The 19,338-nt window shown below is 38.9% G+C and overlaps 1 long non-coding RNA gene across 1 annotated transcript in view; it reads left to right on the top strand.

Moving 5' to 3' along the window:
- The window catches only part of LINC02227 (long intergenic non-protein coding RNA 2227), an 89,091-nt gene that overhangs the window by 36,635 nt on the left and 33,118 nt on the right, over positions 1 to 19,338 (top strand). The window contains exons 2-4 of the long non-coding RNA NR_109888.1: positions 3,529 to 3,604; positions 3,751 to 3,852; positions 10,598 to 10,737. This is a non-coding gene — a long non-coding RNA (long intergenic non-protein coding RNA 2227). The remainder of the gene's footprint in view (positions 1 to 3,528; positions 3,605 to 3,750; positions 3,853 to 10,597; positions 10,738 to 19,338) is intronic.

Raw genomic sequence — 19,338 nt, 5'->3', positions numbered from 1 at the left:
GAGAGTTCCAGTTGTTTTACATACTTGTCAGCACTTGATACTGGCAGGTTTCTTTTTTGTTTTTGTTTTGTTTAGCTATCCTAATAGGTGTGAATCTCATCATAGTTTTAATGCAATTCCCTAAATGACTAACGTTGAGTATCTTTTTATGTGTTTATTTTCCATTCATATATCTTTTCTGGTGAAGTGTCTTTCAAATCTTTTGCTTATTTTAAAAATTGGGTTGTGTTTTCTAATGATACTTTTATAATTTAAAGACCAATTCATTTTAAGTTGATCTTCCTTTCAAATTTAAATATCCCAGAAAAACAACACATTAGGCTTCTGTGAAGCACCAACATCTCATTATAAATTAGTTTTATCCATTCACTCAAAAGACATAAGCTCCTATTTGTAACTCTTTGTCTTGGTACTAGGAATGTAAAAATAAGCAAACACAGTCCACTTTCAAAGAGACTTTGCTAGATACATAGGAGATGGCTTACCAGAATAACCACACATGACTATAGCAAAAGGCGGAATATACTTAGTGCTCTGTGCGATTATATAAGCAAATTGTTAAGAGAGATTCTAGGGTGGGAGGGATGATATCTACTTGAGTATTTGGCCTTGATTAATGGGTACTATTTTGAAAAACAGAAATATAAAGGTAGAAAAAATATTTCAGGTAAAGATACAACCTAAGAAAAGGTGAAGGACCTACAGCTAAAATTATACTTAGTGGTGTAAGCTGATTGCTTCTCTCTTAAAATTGGAAGCAAGACAAGAATGTCTGCTCTCACAGTTTTTATTCACCATTACACTGGGGGTGTGAACCGTAGAAATTAGACAAAAAAAAAAGAAATAAAAGTCATGCATAATGGAAAGAAAGATGTAAAACTACCTCTATTTGCATGTGACATGGTCTTGAGCATAGAAAAATCCTAAAAAGTCGACTAAAAAGCTATTAGAGTTAATAAATGAGTTCAGTAAGGTTGCATGACACAAGATCAATACACAAAAGTCAGTTAAATTTCCATACACTAGCAATGAGCAATCCAAAAATAAAATTAATAAAATAACTCTGCTTACATAGTATCAAAAAGAATAAAATGCTTATAGATAAATTGAACCAAAGAAGTGCAAGATTTGTACACTGTGAACTATAAACTATTATTGAAATAAATTTGAGAACAAACTAAATGGAAAGATATCCATGTTTATGGTTTGGAAGGTCTGATATTGTTAAAATGGCAGTATTTCCAAAATTGATCTGCAGATTTGTTAGGGCTCAGAACGCAATACCCCAAAGTATGGTGCCTTGGCTTGCGAGTACTTTTTAACTGAAGGAGATAGGAGAGCCTCAAAAGCAAGAAGATCTCACCTTCTTCCACTTTCCTGCCTCCCATTCCTCTTTCTCCCCCAAATCAAGTGATAAAACCTACAAAAATTACTGTCTGGGTCACCCCTGAAAGTAGCTGATAAGACCTTTCTAAAGCAGGTGTCCTACTCTCTACCCAGAGGGAAGGAAAGTTACACAAAGAGGCCACAAAGAATCTGAACAAATAAAACACGCAAAAAAATTGAGTTGGACTTCTGCTGCAAACAACATATAAAAATTAATTCAAAATGAACTATAAGGCCTGAATATGGAACTATAAAACTCTTAGAAGAAAACACAGGTATACAATCTCCATGACCTTGAGCTCGGCAATATTTCCTTAGATATCGCACTAAAAACACAAGCAAAACGAGAAAAACATTAGATGAGAAGGACTTCATCAACATTATAAGATTTTATGCTTCAAGGTACATTCCCAAGGAAAGGAAAAGATAACCCACAGAAAGTGAGAAAATTTTGCAAATCATACATTTGTTAAGGGACTTGTATCCACACTGAAAAACATTTTGGACAGTTCTTAAAGAATGAAACAGAAATACACCACATGATCCAGCAATTCCACTTCTAGGTATCTGCCCAAGAGAAATGGAAACCTATGATAACACAAGGCCTTCACGTGAATGTTCACAGCAGCATTATTCATAACAGCCAAAAACAGAAACGATTTGAATGTCCATCAACAGATGAATAGATAAATGAAATATGACATACCCATACAATGGAATACTATTCAGCAATAAAAAGTAATGCATAATGATACATGCTACAACATGGATAAATTTCCAAAACATTATGCTAAGTGAAAGAAGCCAGGTATATTGTAGGATTTTATTTATATGAAACGGGGTTGGGAACAGAGTGTGAATGGGCATGATGGATCTCACTGGAGCACTGCAAGTATTATGACCATGATTGCACAACCCACCAAAAGTCTTAGAAATCACTTAATTGCACATTTCAAATGATTTATTTTTATATATAAAGTATACTTCAATGATGTTTTTAAAAATTGCCCTTACAGAAGTAAACTTTAATTCAAGTTAACAGACCTGGGCCGAGATATACAAAGCCATCCTCAGAAGGCAGAATGGCTCCCAGACCAACAAGACTTGACTATAGTCAGATTAAATGTAGTAAGAAATCTATACAAATAGTATGCCATTGGAATGGGGGCAGGCGGGTGGTCACTCTTGGGACTGTAGATAAAGGGGAGAAATGGCCTTGGTTTATGTGGGGATATTAGGGTTTCCATTACTCCTGGAATGAGGGCAGTGGTGGAGAGGAAGAGGGATGCTAAAAAGATAGCTGAGAGTTAGCTGCATGACTCCCCATGCACTGAGTCCAGGCACCAAGTTCTGGAAAGCAGTTGTTTGTTAGCTCCCATGTAGCTTTGCTGCAGGGTGATGATGCACTGACAGGCCAGTGCAAGTCCTTCCAGACTGTGGCCTTGTTCTTAGTAAATTAACAAGCTTAACATTCTTGGTACCACAGCAGTTTCTGTGGACCCTGTTAATGTTAACCTATCCCTGTAAAAACCAGGCTTCTGAGCTTATGGGGAAGAGAGCTGAGCTGGAGTGTGGAGAGTGGTATGTTCCCCATAGTAGATGTCCCCAGAGAACAGCTCCGAATGATCAGAGACCTCTCCAGTTGGTACCTTCTTTCCTGATGTGTGTTCCTAGACTGTGGTTAGCATAGCCCAGCACAGGTCAGTAGAGCATTCTGGATAAGAATGTAAACTCTGGAATCAGAGCGCCTGGAATCAAAGTCTGTGCTACTGCTTACCAAGGTGTGCAACATTGGGCAAGCTACTGAATCTCTCTCAGCTTCAACTTTCTCACCTATGAAACACAGTTACTAACAGTACCTACCTCATATGGCTGTTAAAAGGATTAAGTAAGATCATGTGAGAAAATGGGTGGATTTACCCTGTACGTAGCAGGAACAGTCAGTGCAAAAAGGTGAGCACTTAGCACAGAGCTTGTCACAGGGTAAACACTCAAACATGAGCTATTATTCCCAAATTGGCGCTCTCACCATATATTTCTGTTTTTTAATTGATTTTCTTACAATCAATGCATAACATTTCAGTTCATAATCAGAAAACAATGTTATTCAAAAAATTTGAAATATGATTTGTGTTTCTCCAGGAGGGAAAATAGAGAAGAGTAAGAAAAAGTGATGGAGGAAGGAAGAGGAAAAGAAGCAAGGATCCAAAATGCAAATGTGGGACATTTTAGAAGAGCAGAACGTTGCATTTCAGCCTTCCTGTCTGATATAACCCATCTGGTGACTGCATTCAAAAGAGCCCTACCAAGAATATTTTCATGGAGTTATTTTTCCACTGTGTATTTCACACTTCATCTTTGCAGGAGAATGGATGGATTTACTTGGCACGTAGCAGGGGACAGTCTGTGGAAAGAAGTGAGAAGGATAATCCAATAGCAAAAGTGAGGGGTGATGAAGAGTGAAAGGTACCAACGTCCCCTTCCGCATATTCCTCTCCACTCTCTCAGTATTGGAATCTAAGTCTGAAGTTTTAGACAAGGCTCAGGGACGGCTTAAACTGTAGATGCAGTTCCCTTCTCTAGTCCCAAAGGCTCCCAGTCAGCCCTAGGCCTTGTGTAGGGAGCTTCCAAATGCCTACTCAAGGTTTAATTAATTTTCTGCAAAAAATGATTGGTTGACATGACAGCAATAAACATCAAATTCCATTAATTAATACTGAGACATCAGTGTCCACGCTGCTTCTCAATTACACATTCAGAGGCAGCCACGCTTATGCTGGCATCAATTTGGTCGTGAAGCCCAGTAAGGGCTGTTAAAATGGAAAGAGGACCAAGGGGAGGGAGGGGTAGGGGGGTGGCATCTGTTCTTATGCAGAGATAATCAGCTTGGAAGAATTCACACTCCAAAGCCCACTCCCCAGAGAAGGGTTTAAGAGACCTAGATGAAAGGATTTAAATTTGGTTGGGTGAGGCATTTTCATTTTGCTGATGGCCTGGAAGGGAACTATCAGCTTGATGAAAACAAAGCTTCCCTCGGGTTCTAAGACATATTCTTCAAACTGGCTCCCCTCCCATTGTTCTTTCTTTCTCTCTTTCTTTTTTTTTTTTTTTTTATTAGATGAACTCATTTATTTGACATATTAAATTAGACAAAGAAATGTATATGTAACCAGATAAAAACAATCACATTCTCATACTACTTGAACACACAGCAGTGGTCAAAAATAATGGATTGTAAAATGGACCCCAGGATTTAATGCAAAAACCACCCCATACGAGGAGCTACAGTCATCTCCAATTTCATGTTAATTCCGAAGAGAGTCAAAGGGGAACAAAAAGCAATCTTTGCTTCTTCCACTCAAGAAAAAACCCTAAAGGGACCACAGCTCCCATCAGGCACATGCTTTAGGGCCTGGAGACAAAGTGAAATGTTCTCATGCACACATGAAGGGTTTGGTCATGGAGATAAAGCAATGTGATTAAATCTTGATAGATTTTTGTTTTAAGAGTGAAAAGAAAAAAAAAAAAAACTGGCCTTGTTTACCTGGTTACAAAGAGTGCTGTTGGTAATCCCTGGTAAATTAGCATCTTGATGAGCATATTTTCCCTCCCAGGATGAAGGCACCAAGGAAGAATCTATTTGAGGCCGTCTCCGGCCCATTCCCACATGGTGGCTCCATCCCTACCCCTTCATAAGCTCTGCCCCTGGAAGCAGTTGTTTCATTATTCCAGAAATTTTATGATAATTGTTTGTGACTTCAATTTAGAGATTATAAAAATAAAACCCCAGCCCCTATTCCAGAAATTTTATGATAATTGTTTGTGACTTCAATTTAGAGATTATAAAAATAAAACCCTAGCCCCACCCAGCCTCAGAGGACAATAGGCAAAGTTGATCATTGTTACATTTCTTCCATACCTTTATAGGGAAGTATTATTCCCTTATTAATAATTTAATGATCTTTTCCACTTTAAGGATGGAGAGACAAAGACCCAAAAAGTGAAGCAGTTTGCCCAAAGTCACTCTCCATATGGGTTACAGGTCCCTAATAGATACTGAGTGTTCAGAACAAGGGAGCAACGGAAGGGGGTGGGCTGAAACAAGAACATGCTTACTGCATGCTCCAGCTGGGCCTGGAGGCTCCAGGTGCAGAGGCTGATGGAGTTAAGATAGGGAGGACTCTTTATTATGATTTATTTCTGTCACCATGTTTCAAAAGGTTGGAGAGAAGGTGACTGGCCTAGACTAAAAAGTTGGAGCTGCACAGATAGAAATTAAATGGTAGAGGTTAGGATGTAATGATTTTGGATTCAGATATCCTCTGGTTATAAAAAAATAATGAAGAGAAAAGAAAAGGCCAATCTGACACAAAGGATTGGACCTAATGCTGAGAAAGGAGTCAAAATATTTCTTTCTATTCCCAGGCCCCATCACTAACTTGCAGAACAATCTTGATCACCTCGCTTAATCTCTCTGATCCACAATCTCCCATTTGTTTGAGGATACTTGGTTAAACCTGCTCTGTTATTGGGGTTGAGATGGGATAAGAATCAAATGGCATTTGTTGAGCAGAAAACTCCATTCATTTAAAAAGACCTATACATGGGGTGGAAGTTGGTTATCTACCACTTAGAGAATAATGGCTAGGGCTAATGAGCTTTTAATATGTCCCAGGCACTAGGCTAGATATTTGGCAAACTAGTCCATTCAATCTTCACAAATATCCTGTGAAGTAAGTACTAGCATTGCTCTAGGTTGCAAGATGAGGAAACTGAGGCTCAGAGATGTCAAGATACTTGCCTGAGAGTTGCACAACAAGTAGGTGGCTGAGCTGAGATTGAAAACAAAATTTGTCTAATTCTGGAGCTTGAGCACTCACACTCTGGGCCATTCCACACGGCAAAAGCACTGTAGTGTAATTCAGAAAAAGTCATCACTCGCCTCCATTGAACACTAGGTGAAAAACATCAAATGGGAGCATACACTTGCAAAAAGAGAACAATTTCTGGCCCTAAACAACCTCCTATTTTCCCCAATCAGTACATTTTCAATCCCACGTCTCAGATGAGAGCCTACAGGGAAAGAAAGCAAGTAGAGAGGTTTGGAGCAGACATAGCCCTGAAACATCCTGAAGGCTCTATGGATCAGCACATGGCTCCTTCTGCTTGAGTTCATTCCAAACAAATCCATTAAAAGCACCATCTTAATGAATATTTTATACAGTTACGACATAGTGAGTCCCATTTAGGAGGGGCTCGTACTAAAGGCTGAGACAATGAACTACTCAAATAGCCAACTAATCAGCAAGGCCAATAGAAATCTGGTCGAGGGCACAATAGTTTCACAGAAAGAAAAAAAATGAAAGCCATATACCCTCTTCTTGCTGGTTTAAGATTAAAAAAAAAAAAAAAAAACTCTACCTACCATGTTCAAATACTGCCAGCCATTAGGAAAAGTCAGCTGTTTGAGTAATTCATTTGTTTTCCTTGGCCCCTTCACAGCTTCTGAAGAAAGTCAATGTACAATTTGCTTGTTTCTGTTAGATTAGGTTCTATCTTTGAGCTCTTAGTAAACATGCACATACTCACACTCAAACACACACACATGCCTTAACCTACTTCCCCTAGAAACAAACTGGAGGAAGGAGAGAATCCTCAGGAACAAATTCAGTGATACCCCAGGTGCTGTTTCCCCAAGTCTTGCCCCTGACACAGGAGAACCTGGTGTGATTCAAGGACTTTGGAGGAGAAAAAGGCTGATCCTACAATCCGGAGAGCAAATCGGTGGCCTGGGTGTCAATGCACCCTGTGGATGGATTCTGTTTGCTCTGCCAGCCTTGATTTGCCTACTGATTTTGTTGTTGTTGTTGTTTTATTTGAGACACGGTTTGACTCTTGTTGCCCAGGCTGGAGTGCAATGGCACAATCTTGGCTCACTGCAACCTCTGCCTCCCAGGTTCCAGTGATTCTCCTGCCTCAGCCTTCCAAGTAGCTGGGATTACAGATGCCTGCCCCTACGCCTGGCTAATTTTTTGTATTTTTAGTAGAGACAGGGTTTCTCCATGTTGGCCAGACTGGTCTCAAACTCCTGACCTCAGGTAATCCACCCGTCTCGGCCTCCCAAAGTGCTGGGATTACAGGCGTGAGCCATTATGCCTGGGTTTGCCTACAGTTTTTAAGAAATTTTAATTCATTTTTAACATTTAAAAATGTAGAGCTTTCACAAACTTTTCTAGGTTTCTGAGTTCTCTTGAAAGATGAAGAGAGCTGACTGACATCACAGAGTCTAATTTCTGTACAGCCACAGTCACCTGGAGCCAAGTTGTAGCTGGGAAAAGAACTGGGATTCCCACTTCCCAGCCTCCACGGTGTTTCCCCAAACAGAAACACAGGATCCATTGGCATTTGTCACTACCCTTATGTGGCTGTTTTCCTTAGAGTTAAAAGGAGATCAAGGTATTTTTTTATATCAACATCTCTATCTAATGTGGGAAAGTGAATGGCAGATTAGGATAGGCATGTATTTAAAGAAAAAGGAGAGGAAACCATAAGCCTAATTCTGTGTGGGAATAAAGACTATGCATTTGTGTTTGGTTTAAAGTAAGGTTCTCACCTGGTCCCTGTGGGCATTTGAGATTGACACCCTGGTCTAAAGTTACTGACGATGTCTGGAAATTGGTCTTTAGGCTCTGTTTTCATTCCCATAGTTCCAGGTGGCTTCCTTAGTACTTGGCCCATTGCCAGGCATGTAGGAGATGTGCCGAAAAATAAAATGCATAATGAACTAAAATTACATTGCACCCTTTTCCCCTCTTCATTTGAACAGATTTCTGGGCACCACCTACCCCATGGTACCATCCTCCTTTGTTGCTGATTTAAGAATCCTTTTAGAGCCTTTTTTGCAGTCTATACAGCTTTACTTCAGGACCAATCAGACTGGAAAGAGCCTGATAATGGGATCACATAGATACTTTAGTGACTGGTTTGATAAAGTATTCACTTAGAGACCAGCCAAACTTAGATTTAAATTCCAACTTTGCCACTCATTGTCTTAACCTGGGTTTCCCAAGAGCAGGGCCTGAGATAAAGATGTGTGTGGAGGCTTATTAAGGAATGTGATCCCTGGAATAAGGGGCGGGAAAGTGAAGAGGGAAGGAGGAAAAAGCAATGCAAGGAAGCCTGAACTGCTGCAGGCAATTGGTTACCTCATACAGGAGCTTCCGAGGAGCCTTCTGGAATGTGTGTTGCATTCATCGGCCAGCAACAATGGCCTTTACCAGCTCCTGCCCACAGCCCCGGGGTATATCAATATCCTCATGCAACCAAAGGAAGCCAGAGAAAGTGGCAAGGCCAAGAAGATGTGAGGTGCTGTGCAAAAGATGTCCTATACAATGACCTTGGTTGAATTACTTCATGTCTCAAAACCTCAGTTTCTCCATCTGTAAAAGGGTAAAACATTAGTGTTTCCCTTTTAGAGATGAAGGGAGGAGGTAATGAAATAATTCATGTAAAGCCTAATAAAATGCATAGCACATAGTACATGTTAATAAATGGCGATTTCTAATATTCTAAGAACTGTGCATCCTGGAGGACTTTATCTGAGAGCTTATAGCAAAAATCAATGAAAGTGAACAATAGTAATTACAGTCTCAGCATTCGCCTAACGAGATGGCAAACTGGCTGCTACTAAGCCAATTCTGTCTCATAAACGTGTTCTTTTGCACCCTCCCCATGCTATATATGTGTATACGACATATAATATATGTATAACATATATTTTTAACAGAAATTGATTTTTTGCCAACACTTAAATTTCATAAAATTTCAATAAAATAAGATTTCTAGCTTAACCTTGACAAATAGAAAGATTTGGCCCCGCCGGGCTAGTATTCCCACAGCCAGCTACAGTTGAGTAGTGGTGACACTTTCAGCTGGGGCACATCTTCTCCAATTATCCACCATCCCTCTGTGTCCACTTCACCCATTCACAACCTGTCTGCCCCCATCGACATTTGCATTTGAAGCCCCTAGTCTGATCTTTAACCTAGAAAAGCAGGGTCCCTGGAAACTCAGCCAGGACCCAGGGACAGAAAATGCCTGGAAACAACAAGGTTTTGTTTTCCAGTAAGAAAGCAGAAGAGCCACACGAGGGCCAGGGCCGTGGGACTCAATGTCCCTGTGATGGAGAGCTAAGTGGATCCTGCTGAGGTGAGAGTGTGTGGTTCCAGCGAGGCTGGCTATTACCAACCTGAGGCTGAGGTCACCCCAGCTGCTCCTGGCGCCTGCAACTCTGTTTATTTCATTCTGGTTCATACCAGAGATTTATTTTTATGAACAGTGAACATTTTTTGTAACATTCCCTCATTTAACCTTCATTATCAAAGTCTCTGCCCAAAGCCCATATAAGCACCATTATTGCCCATATAACATTTTCCAACACAAACCATTTAAGGCATTTTTTTCCATTTTTATTTATTTCTCTTCTGTTACATTTCATTTGAAATGTGCATGGGGGAGAATGTGTCTTGTTTTTATGTTGTCTCATACAGACCATAAGCCCTAATGGTGGGGGCTGCCTATTTTGGAGGTTAATAAGCAATGGGGACATTCGTCATATGGAACAAACAACCAGGATATGCTGGCCTCTTAAAAAAGGACTAGAAAGGAGTTGTGTATGACTGAGGAAATTGAAAAGAAAATAACCCAGCTTTTTTGTGTCTTCTGAAAGCCTAGAAAACAAGAAGCATGGTGGCTCCAGAGCAGGAAGCTGGGAGTATTAGGAGCACAGTGCTGTAGGCTTGCTTCTCAGATCACCCATTAATAAGCAGATTCTCCATGGAGGGTGACAGTATGCCACGTATCCCTGAATCCTCCATACCTGGCCACTGTCTGGTCCACGGTGGGTAATTAAACAGTTTATACTATGGATCTTAGAAACTCAAATGACATAAGAAAAATTAGTAATATATTGGCTCACATAGTTGGAAAGTTCAAGTTCTTCAGGCATAGCTGTATGCAAAAACTAAAATAGTGTCTGCTATGATCTGAATGTGTCCCCCAAAATCCATGTATTGAAATGTAATCTGCATTGTGCTATTAAGAGGTAGGGCATCATGATGGCCCCGCTCTCATGAATGGTTTAGTGCCTTATCAAAGGGCCAGAGGCAACTAGCTTAGACCTTTTTTACTCTTCTGTTCTTTGGCCATGAAGGTACATAGATTTTGTCTCCTTTTTGCCCTTTTGCCATGTGAGGATGCCACCATGAGGAGACCCCATGGATGGACAGCAGGCCCTCACCAAACACCAAATCTTCTGGCACCTTTGTCTTGGATATCCTGGACTTTGGAAGGGTAAGAAATAAATTCCTATTGTTTAGAAATTAGCCAGGCTCAGGTATTTTGTTATAAAAGCAAAAACAGACAAAGGCAGTGTCTTTAGCTTCTCTGTCTCTGTATCTCTCCGAATATTCACTCTTCCTTTCTCTCTGATGATTTTACTTTAAGCAGGCTTTCTTCTTTGAGTAGTCAGATGTTCATCAAGAAGCTCTACGTTTATATTCCTACAAATTCAATAACTCCAATGATAGTGGAAGGAAGGAAAGAAGGGAGGGAGGAAAAAAGAAAGTAAGAAGGAGAGGGAAAGAATAAGTCTTTTTTCCAGTATTTTCATCAAAGGTCCTCATATCAATCATCTCAATAGCCCAGTTTGGATCCTTGAACAAATGACTATAGTCCAAGGTAAGAAATGCATTCATTCGAAGGTAAGTCAATGGTTAGCCTACCCTCCCCACAGGGGCTGAGACTGGAAAAGGTAGAATGCGTTCTGTGTGGGCATAAGCAGCAGACCCCCACCACAGAAAGGGTGGATGAAGCTATTCTACAAAGACAACAGCCAGCTAGGAAACCTTGCAAAGTCCATTTAATTCATTGCCACAAACACGTACTGCCTCTTACTATATGTTAAGATTGTGCTAAGGTCTGAGAAGGCAAAGTTGCAAAGCCATTGACAATGATCTTGACAAACCTAACACCTGGTAGAGGACACAGCTAACAAATCTTTAGGAACCCCTGTGCTGGAAAAAGCAGTGGAAGTATGTGCAAGGTGCAAGAGCACTTCATCTGTTGGGAATTCTGGGAGCCAGTGTGGAACATATGCCTCCAAATTATTAAACAAGCAATTGTGGGGGCTGATGGTGAGGAAACCAGGGTACTTACATATGAATTACGTTGATCATTGGCTAAGAGCTGCTGGAGGATAAGGACGTAATTCCCCAGGCATTTCTGGCCTGCCATATGTGTGGACACAGGAGGCTTCCAAGGTTCTGAGGAGAGGGGAAGGAAGGAGAAAGGAGGGGAGGGGAAGGGAGGGGAGGGGGAAATTGGACTAGCAAATCCCTGAGGACCTAACCAACTCTAAAATCCTAAGGGGCAAGATTTGGTCTAGCAATCTGTATTTTATACTTCCACACTGGTTTGTCTCCATTTTAAAGCAACCTAAAAATGCGTGGGAAATGGGTATGTGGTAGGAGGTGGAGGCAACTGGAAGAGTGAGACGGTTAACGATTTTGTGGTGGAAAATCCAGGACTCCACACAAAAATATATGCATCATAACAGCCTAACTTGTTTATAAAGGATCTGTTTACTTTTAACCCTAAAATCTTGGACCCTGCACTTGCAGGGTAGAATAATTACAGACTATGGGCCATGGTAAGAGGACCCTCAAGGCTGTGGTTTCATGGAACAGATGAAGGTCACTGAGGCCAGAGGATGGTTATGCTACTGACCAAGTGCTCTTCCCTTTGTGCACAACCAGTGTCAGAAACCAAGAGGTGGATGTAGTAAACCAGGCTTCATAGAGAAAATTAATTTCTTTTCTCCATCTAAGGGCTCAATTCCACATCACATTAGTACTTTCAAAGCTTCCACCCAACCCAGTGAGGTTGGTTATATTTGCTTATATTATTTTTAGCATTTCCTACCTTTGGAAGTGTTTTACTGGCAGTTAAATAGACAGGACCCCAAAATATTACTGCAACAGGCCAATGGCTCTATGTGGCTACAGTTTCAGAGTAGGGCTCCCCATTCCAACAAAACCTTGTTCCCCAGAAATCTGCCCATAAAACAAAAACTCCCTGTGAACCCACACTAGGCCCTGTACAGAGCATGTGAGTTCCCAGGGAGAGGTTTATCTTCTTCTTGTTTCCTAAGATGTGTTCCGATAAATTAGATTTCTCTAGTTTTGTTCCTTCCCTTATATATGAATTGTGTTGGTCATTAGCTAAGGGATGCTGGAGGATTCTTTTTACATTCCATAGAGCACCACTACTGTTGTTTCTAAAGGAAGCTCAAGAATTGCATTTAATGGCAAAGGATGGAGCATTTAAAGTGGGAAGTCTGGGGATGATTTTAAAAATCCCATAAATAGACATTAGTGTGTCTTTATTAGTCATATTAGTGTTTCTATTTTATCACTCACATTAGTGTTTCTATTTTACAGATTAGGAAACTGATTACATCTTCTTTTTAAAAAATATTATACAGAAAAAATGTTAAAAATAACAATTCTAACTACTACTTCTGTGACTATTGCTACTATGATTAATATTAACAATGCAGTTAAACATAATTGAATTATTAATTAATAATCAATCATGACCGGATGCAGTGGCTCATGCCTGTAATCCCAGCACTTTGGGAGGCCAAGGCGGGTAGATCACCTGAGGTCAGGAGTTCGAGACCACCCTGGCCAACATAGTGAAACCCTGTCTCTACTAAAAATACAAAAATTAGCTGGGCATGGTGGCACGTGCCTGTAATCCCAGCGACTCGGGAGGCTGAGGCAGGAGAATCCCTTGAACCCAGGTGGCAGAGGTTGCAGTGAGCTGAGATGGTGCCATTGCACTCCAGCTTGCGTGACAGAGCAAGACTCTATCTCAAATAATAATAATAATAATCATCATTAATGAGTTAATTTAATCATTAGTTTATTGGAGCATTATTGAACACTCAAAGTTCAAAATAGTGCTAGACATTACCGATAAAAATAAGAAAAACAAGAAATTATAGTCAGCTATATCCAAACAGTATTAGGGCATAAGACCATACCTTGGGAACAACTGTATGCAGTCAGTTTCCTTAAGCAAAATGCTATCATTGCTCAATACTATATACCTAGAATGAAAAACAGAGGAAATGAAAACATGGGATTCTTAACTAAATTCTTCCTCAATTTTGACATGTGTTTAAAATGTACAAATAAAATTTTTAGAAAGCTTCAGAATAAAAGTGATATGCATGCATCAAGCACTTATGTTAATAGAACTTCATAAGAAAGAGGTGCTTTTTAAAAAAGCAGCAGTAGTAATAAAAGCTTAACTTTTGTTTTTACTTTAATTATTGTAAGTACTAATTTGGGGATACTGCATGTTGATATGACAAATAAAGTATCTAAAATAAACACATACACAATCATTTTCCAGGCCTTAAAGACATACTGATATTGCTCTGAGTCTTGTTTTAGACACTGTCATGCCATTATTTTTACTACTTAAAATATGAAAATGTATTAATCTAAAAGGAGTAATTTCCTTGACATGTCAAGAGTTTTTACAAACTAATAAGAATAAGGTTAATAAACAGCACAACAAGAATAGCAATAAAACAACCTAATATAAATTAGACTAACATACAACCCAAGAGAAAATAGGAAGAAGACATGAAAACAATTTATGATAAAATACTTTGGCTTGTAGAATGTATGGCAAAATGTTAACCTCATTTAAATCAAGCAATGAGACACCACCAGTTAAAGTTTGAAAGACATTGTCAGGGAATATGTATTTCATTGTCCCCTAGTTTATAATAAACATTGCAGGTAGCTCAAATGTTGGTCTCAATGCTCTTCATAAAGATTTCTATTGTTTTTCCTTTTTATTATTCTTTTATCCCCAGGCTGTGATTTTTCTCACTTTGGCCTTTTCATATGTTCCCTCCAGCAACAATGTTGGCTATGTCTGCACAGAATTTCTAATCCAAAGAGGTGACTCAAAATATTTTGGAGGTTCTCTATGCAGCATCAGAGAAAAAAAGTCCCATGCGTCCGAATCACAATTTACACCTAAGGGCTCATTAACATTAAGAAGCCCTTAGGTGTAAATGCTGTATTCCCAAAGTTATCAACAGTTTTTTAAAAAGAGCTGCCCAGATGAAATGGGCAAAGCTATCATTTGCTGCCAAACGTCAGTCAACCAGGGAAAAAAAGAGAAGGAGGAAACCATTTAAATAAGTGTTATTCTTAATTTGGATACATTTTTAATTTTTGAAAAATAGGGGTTATCTTATCTATAAAATCAACCAATACTACCTTCTTCAATTTGAATGTAAAGGTTTAAATGTAAATAATACTTGTTAATAATCATATGCATGCCTTATCACATTTAATTATTAAAATAACCCTATGACGTAGGTACTATTATTAATTATTCCCAATTTACAGATGAAAAAGCTAATGTTTACAGAGATTAAAGAATTTGCTGCAAATCACATGACTAGTAAGTGGCAGAGCTGTGATTTGATCCCAGGTAGTCTCTTTTTGAAATCCAGTTTCTTAAGTACTCTACTGTTCTACCTATAAACTCTTGCTGTGCCCAGAAAATAATTTTGTTTTCCCTCATACTGAGGATCAGCATAAATTTTCATAGAGATAACTTTCCTTTCTCAGAATCTACTGCCCCTTTGAGTGAGACTGGAATTTGGTGATATTTAGAGAGGGCAAAGGGCACCTTCTCTGTGCTTTCCTTACTTCTAAGTTCTCCCAGTGGACTAGCTCCAGACACTTCTCTTGGTTGGACATGATCCAAAATGTTCTTTTTTGCTTCTGCTTCTAGAAAGCTAATCAACCCAAATCATTAAGCAAAATCCGCTTTAAAAATTAGTAATAGACCAAGTCCCGTGGTATCATCAGAGGTTTGGCTAAGACCACAGGGAAAGAGCTAATGTCTGCCATATGCAAAGACTTCTTCACAGATACTTGCTATAGGACCTAAGGATACACAATAAAAGCAATCATGGAGAAATAAATTTCAACTCCACTTGAATGAGCTTATTAATAATTAGAGTTTTCGGCCAGGCGCAGTGGCTCACACCTGAATCCCAGCACTTTGGGAGGCCAAGGCAGGCAGATCACGAGGTCAGGAGATCAAGACCATCCTGGCTAACATGGTGAAACCCCGTCTCTACTAAAAATCCAAAAAAAAAAAAATTAGCCGGGTGTGGTGGTGGGCACCTGTAGTCCCAGCTACTCCGGAGGCTGAGGCAGGAGAATTGCTTGAACCCGGGAGGCAGAGCTTGCAGTGAGCTGAGATCGCGCCACTGCACTCCAGCCTGGGCAACAGGGGAGAGACTCCATCTCAAAAATAAAAAATAAAAAAAAATTAGAGTTTTCTCAGGAAAAAGTGAGATCCTCTGTTACTGGAGTGACGCAAGTGGACAATGAATAACTACTTGGCAGAAATATAAAGAAGTCTCAAATCTCAGGTGAAGAGTTAGATTAGTTAAGAAGTTTTCAACTTTGCTTCTTGATACATTGCTAGGTCCATAATCACTCATATGGGCTATCACAGGTAATTTATTACTACTAATAGAGAACATTTTTTGATTAATTTTAAAATCATATAAATTAAAGTGGATCTGTATTAGTTCCTTGATTACAAGCAATAGAAACTATTGGATTGGTATGGAATAGCTCAGATAATTAAAATTTTAAAATCGCATATACCCAGAAACCATATTATTTTTATAGTTAGTAAACTTGCCTGACCTACATCCATGGGAGGTTCTTATCATTGTCTACATTATCCCTCCTGTGTGTTGTGACAGAGTGAAAGCTGAGGATCATTGTATGTTTGGTTTTTAAGATTTCTTCCAAGCCTCAGATGCTGTGACTCTGTGGTTCTGCAGGGTGGGGGAACAATAACACAGAGCAGAACTGTTCCGGCCTCAGATCCATACTGGGTTTTGTGCGAGCACAATTAACCGGCCATGTTGCTAAGGCTAAGTCTCTGCAATTTATGGCACTAGAAGGACAGGCCAGCCCTTTGGGTTCCCTCTGAGAGAGTTGCAAGGGATAAAATAATGGAGTTACTTTGTTTCTAGAAGAAACCAGGCTATCAGTGTGAGACTCAAGCAGTGAAATCCAGGGAGAGAAAGAGAAGGAAGAGAAAGAGAAAGATCTTTACCCTAGCACTGATAGAAGGATTTACTCACCCACAAAAGTGTGTGAAATAAGGATTGATCTGAGGAAATTATCTTAGACAGCATGAAGTGTGTGTGAGTGTGTATGTGTGTATATATTTGTGTGTGTGTGAGGAAAGAGGGGAAAATCTAGTTTAAAAAATCAAGCATTTTGAAGAAAATGTTGGTCTTTGCTCTTCATGGAGTTTTATGTGACTTAGATTATTTTCATATTAATTTTCTTTCATTCAGCAAATACATACTGAGCACAAAGTATGTTCCAGCCTCTGGATTTAACTAGAATTAACATATAAATCTCCTTCTTGCTTACTCAGTTCCTCAAAAAGCCGTGCTGTCTAGACCTAGTGAAGGCCACCTTTGCCTCATGAGAGTTACCTATGCAGTGACCATACATTCCAGCTTGCCTGGGGGCAATCCTGCTTCACAAATGTGGTCCTAGCATACTTATTTAAAAGAGCCTCTTTCACCCTCAAAAGTGGTTGAATGAATTTCCAGCTTCTATCCCAGGATGTAGAGAGCTAGGAGTGCTGCTCACAGTTACAAAAATTAAAATAAAAGAGCCAGACTAACTTCAAATTCATGAAGTTTAAAAAATCCACTGGAGAGCTAAAGTGTCAAAGTCTTGCCCAAAATCTAGAGAGACAGTGAGAGGAGAGATGTGAGCACATGCTTACATAGGGAAGAGAACCATCCATCCACACACATAAGATCCTGGAATAGGGTTTATGTTTATGACTGAGTATTCAAGAGAACAATTGAGATCACATCCCCACATTCAATCGTCACTAAGCTGGTATGCTTCAGATAACATATAAGAGAAGGCTACTGCTGTTTTGAAAAGAACAGGGGAGAAATAAGCATGTGAAAAAAATGCTTTATGAGGCACAAAGGGAAGACCTAAAATTCAGAATCAAACACAAATTTCTCTGTTTTTGTACTGCAACCACAGGTATATCTACAATAATTTAAAGCCCATGACACTCTGAGGGTAACCACAGTAACAAAAACAACAAAAAATCTAAATGCAGCCAAATCCCTAATATAACTCAAACTCCCATACTTAAAGCCTGGCAGAGGAAAAGACATGCCCAGTGTAAGTTTAAAAATCTACTTATTTCAGTCTCTACTGTACTACACAAGATGTCCAGTTTTCAAATGACAATAAAAAACCAAAACACAAAGCATGCAAGAAGGCAAGAAAACCACATTCAGAAGTAAAAGAGCAATCATCAAAACCAGACTCAGAAATGACACAAGTGTTGGCAATAGCTGACAGAGAATTAAAAAGAGCAGTGATTAATATGCTAAAAGCTCTAAAGTAAAAGGTGGAGAGCATGCAAAATGAGATGAGTAACTTCAGTAGAGAAATGAAACTACATGAAAGAATCAAGTAAAAATAGCATAAATGGAAAACACAGGAGGAGCAGCTAAGAATGCCTTCAGCAGATTCAAAAGCAGACAACACAGCTGCTGAAAGAATTGGTGAACTGGAAGACAGGTCAATAGGATTACCCAAATTGAAACAAAAAGACAAAAATAAATGAGGAAAAAAACACACACACACAGTGAAAACGTCCAGAGAAGAAGTCTATTTATTGATTGTAAAAAAAAAAAAACAAACCAGAACCAAACATTCAAGATCTGTGAGACAATGCAAATCACTCTAAAATACACATAATTGGAATCCCAGGAAGGGGAAGAAAAAGACAATGGAAGAGAAGAAATATTTGAAGAAATAATGGCTGAAAATTATTTTTTTTTAAATCTCACTTATCTAGGAACTTAATATTTAAATTGCTGTAAACAAAAAAAGAGAAAATGTTAAAGATAACTAGAGAAAATAAGACATTACATACAGAGGAACAAAGGTAAGAATTACAGCAAATGTCTCACATTATATCATGCTAGCCAGAAGACAATGGAGTGATATTTTTAAGGCACAGTACAGCACTGATAGAAAAACAACTGTCATCCCAGAATTCTATATCTACAGAAAATACCTTTTAACAATGAATGAGAAATAAAGACTTTCTGAGCAAACAAAAACTGAACTTTATTGGAGCATATCTGTTTACTAGAAATGTTAAAAGATATTCTTTAGGCAGAATGCTTTGAGTGGATACTGTTAAGCTAAAGTCAGAAAAACCTAAACAAATATTGTACTCTGGCTGGTAAATTTGTTTAACACAAGGGTATGGGTTAGAAATTCTATGGAATGAATAGATAGATACAGGTAAAGGCTAGGGAAATAAATATAGATGTGTATGTATGTATGCATGAGTTTGTACACATACTAATATATATATTTCCTAACAATATCCACTGAGGGAACCTAGAAACAGTGACAGTTCAGTAGCCATAATTATACCTTGTACCCAGACCTTGGCTTTTTAAATTCTCTAGTAAAAGGAACCAGGCTCCTTGAAGAACTGCAATACTTTCTGGGTTGGGGTAGGGGAAAATACACATTGAACCTGAAGTATCTTGTGGTGCAAGAAAGTAAGGAAGTTCTTAAAAATTTTTCTTTTAATGGAGGCATATTGAAAGGACACAGGAGGCAACCTGAAAACACTACCAATGGCTAAAATTGAAACAATCCAGCAACAAAATAAATAATTATAATAGTGGATTATAATCCAAAGAACAAAAACAAAACAGGAGCTAATACTGAATAAATAACTGAATAAATAAATAAGTGA

Source organism: Homo sapiens, chromosome 5, assembly GCF_000001405.40.
Source record: "Homo sapiens chromosome 5, GRCh38.p14 Primary Assembly".
NCBI classification, from domain to species: domain Eukaryota; kingdom Metazoa; phylum Chordata; class Mammalia; order Primates; family Hominidae; genus Homo; species Homo sapiens.
This window is presented reverse-complemented; position numbering and strand designations above follow the sequence as displayed.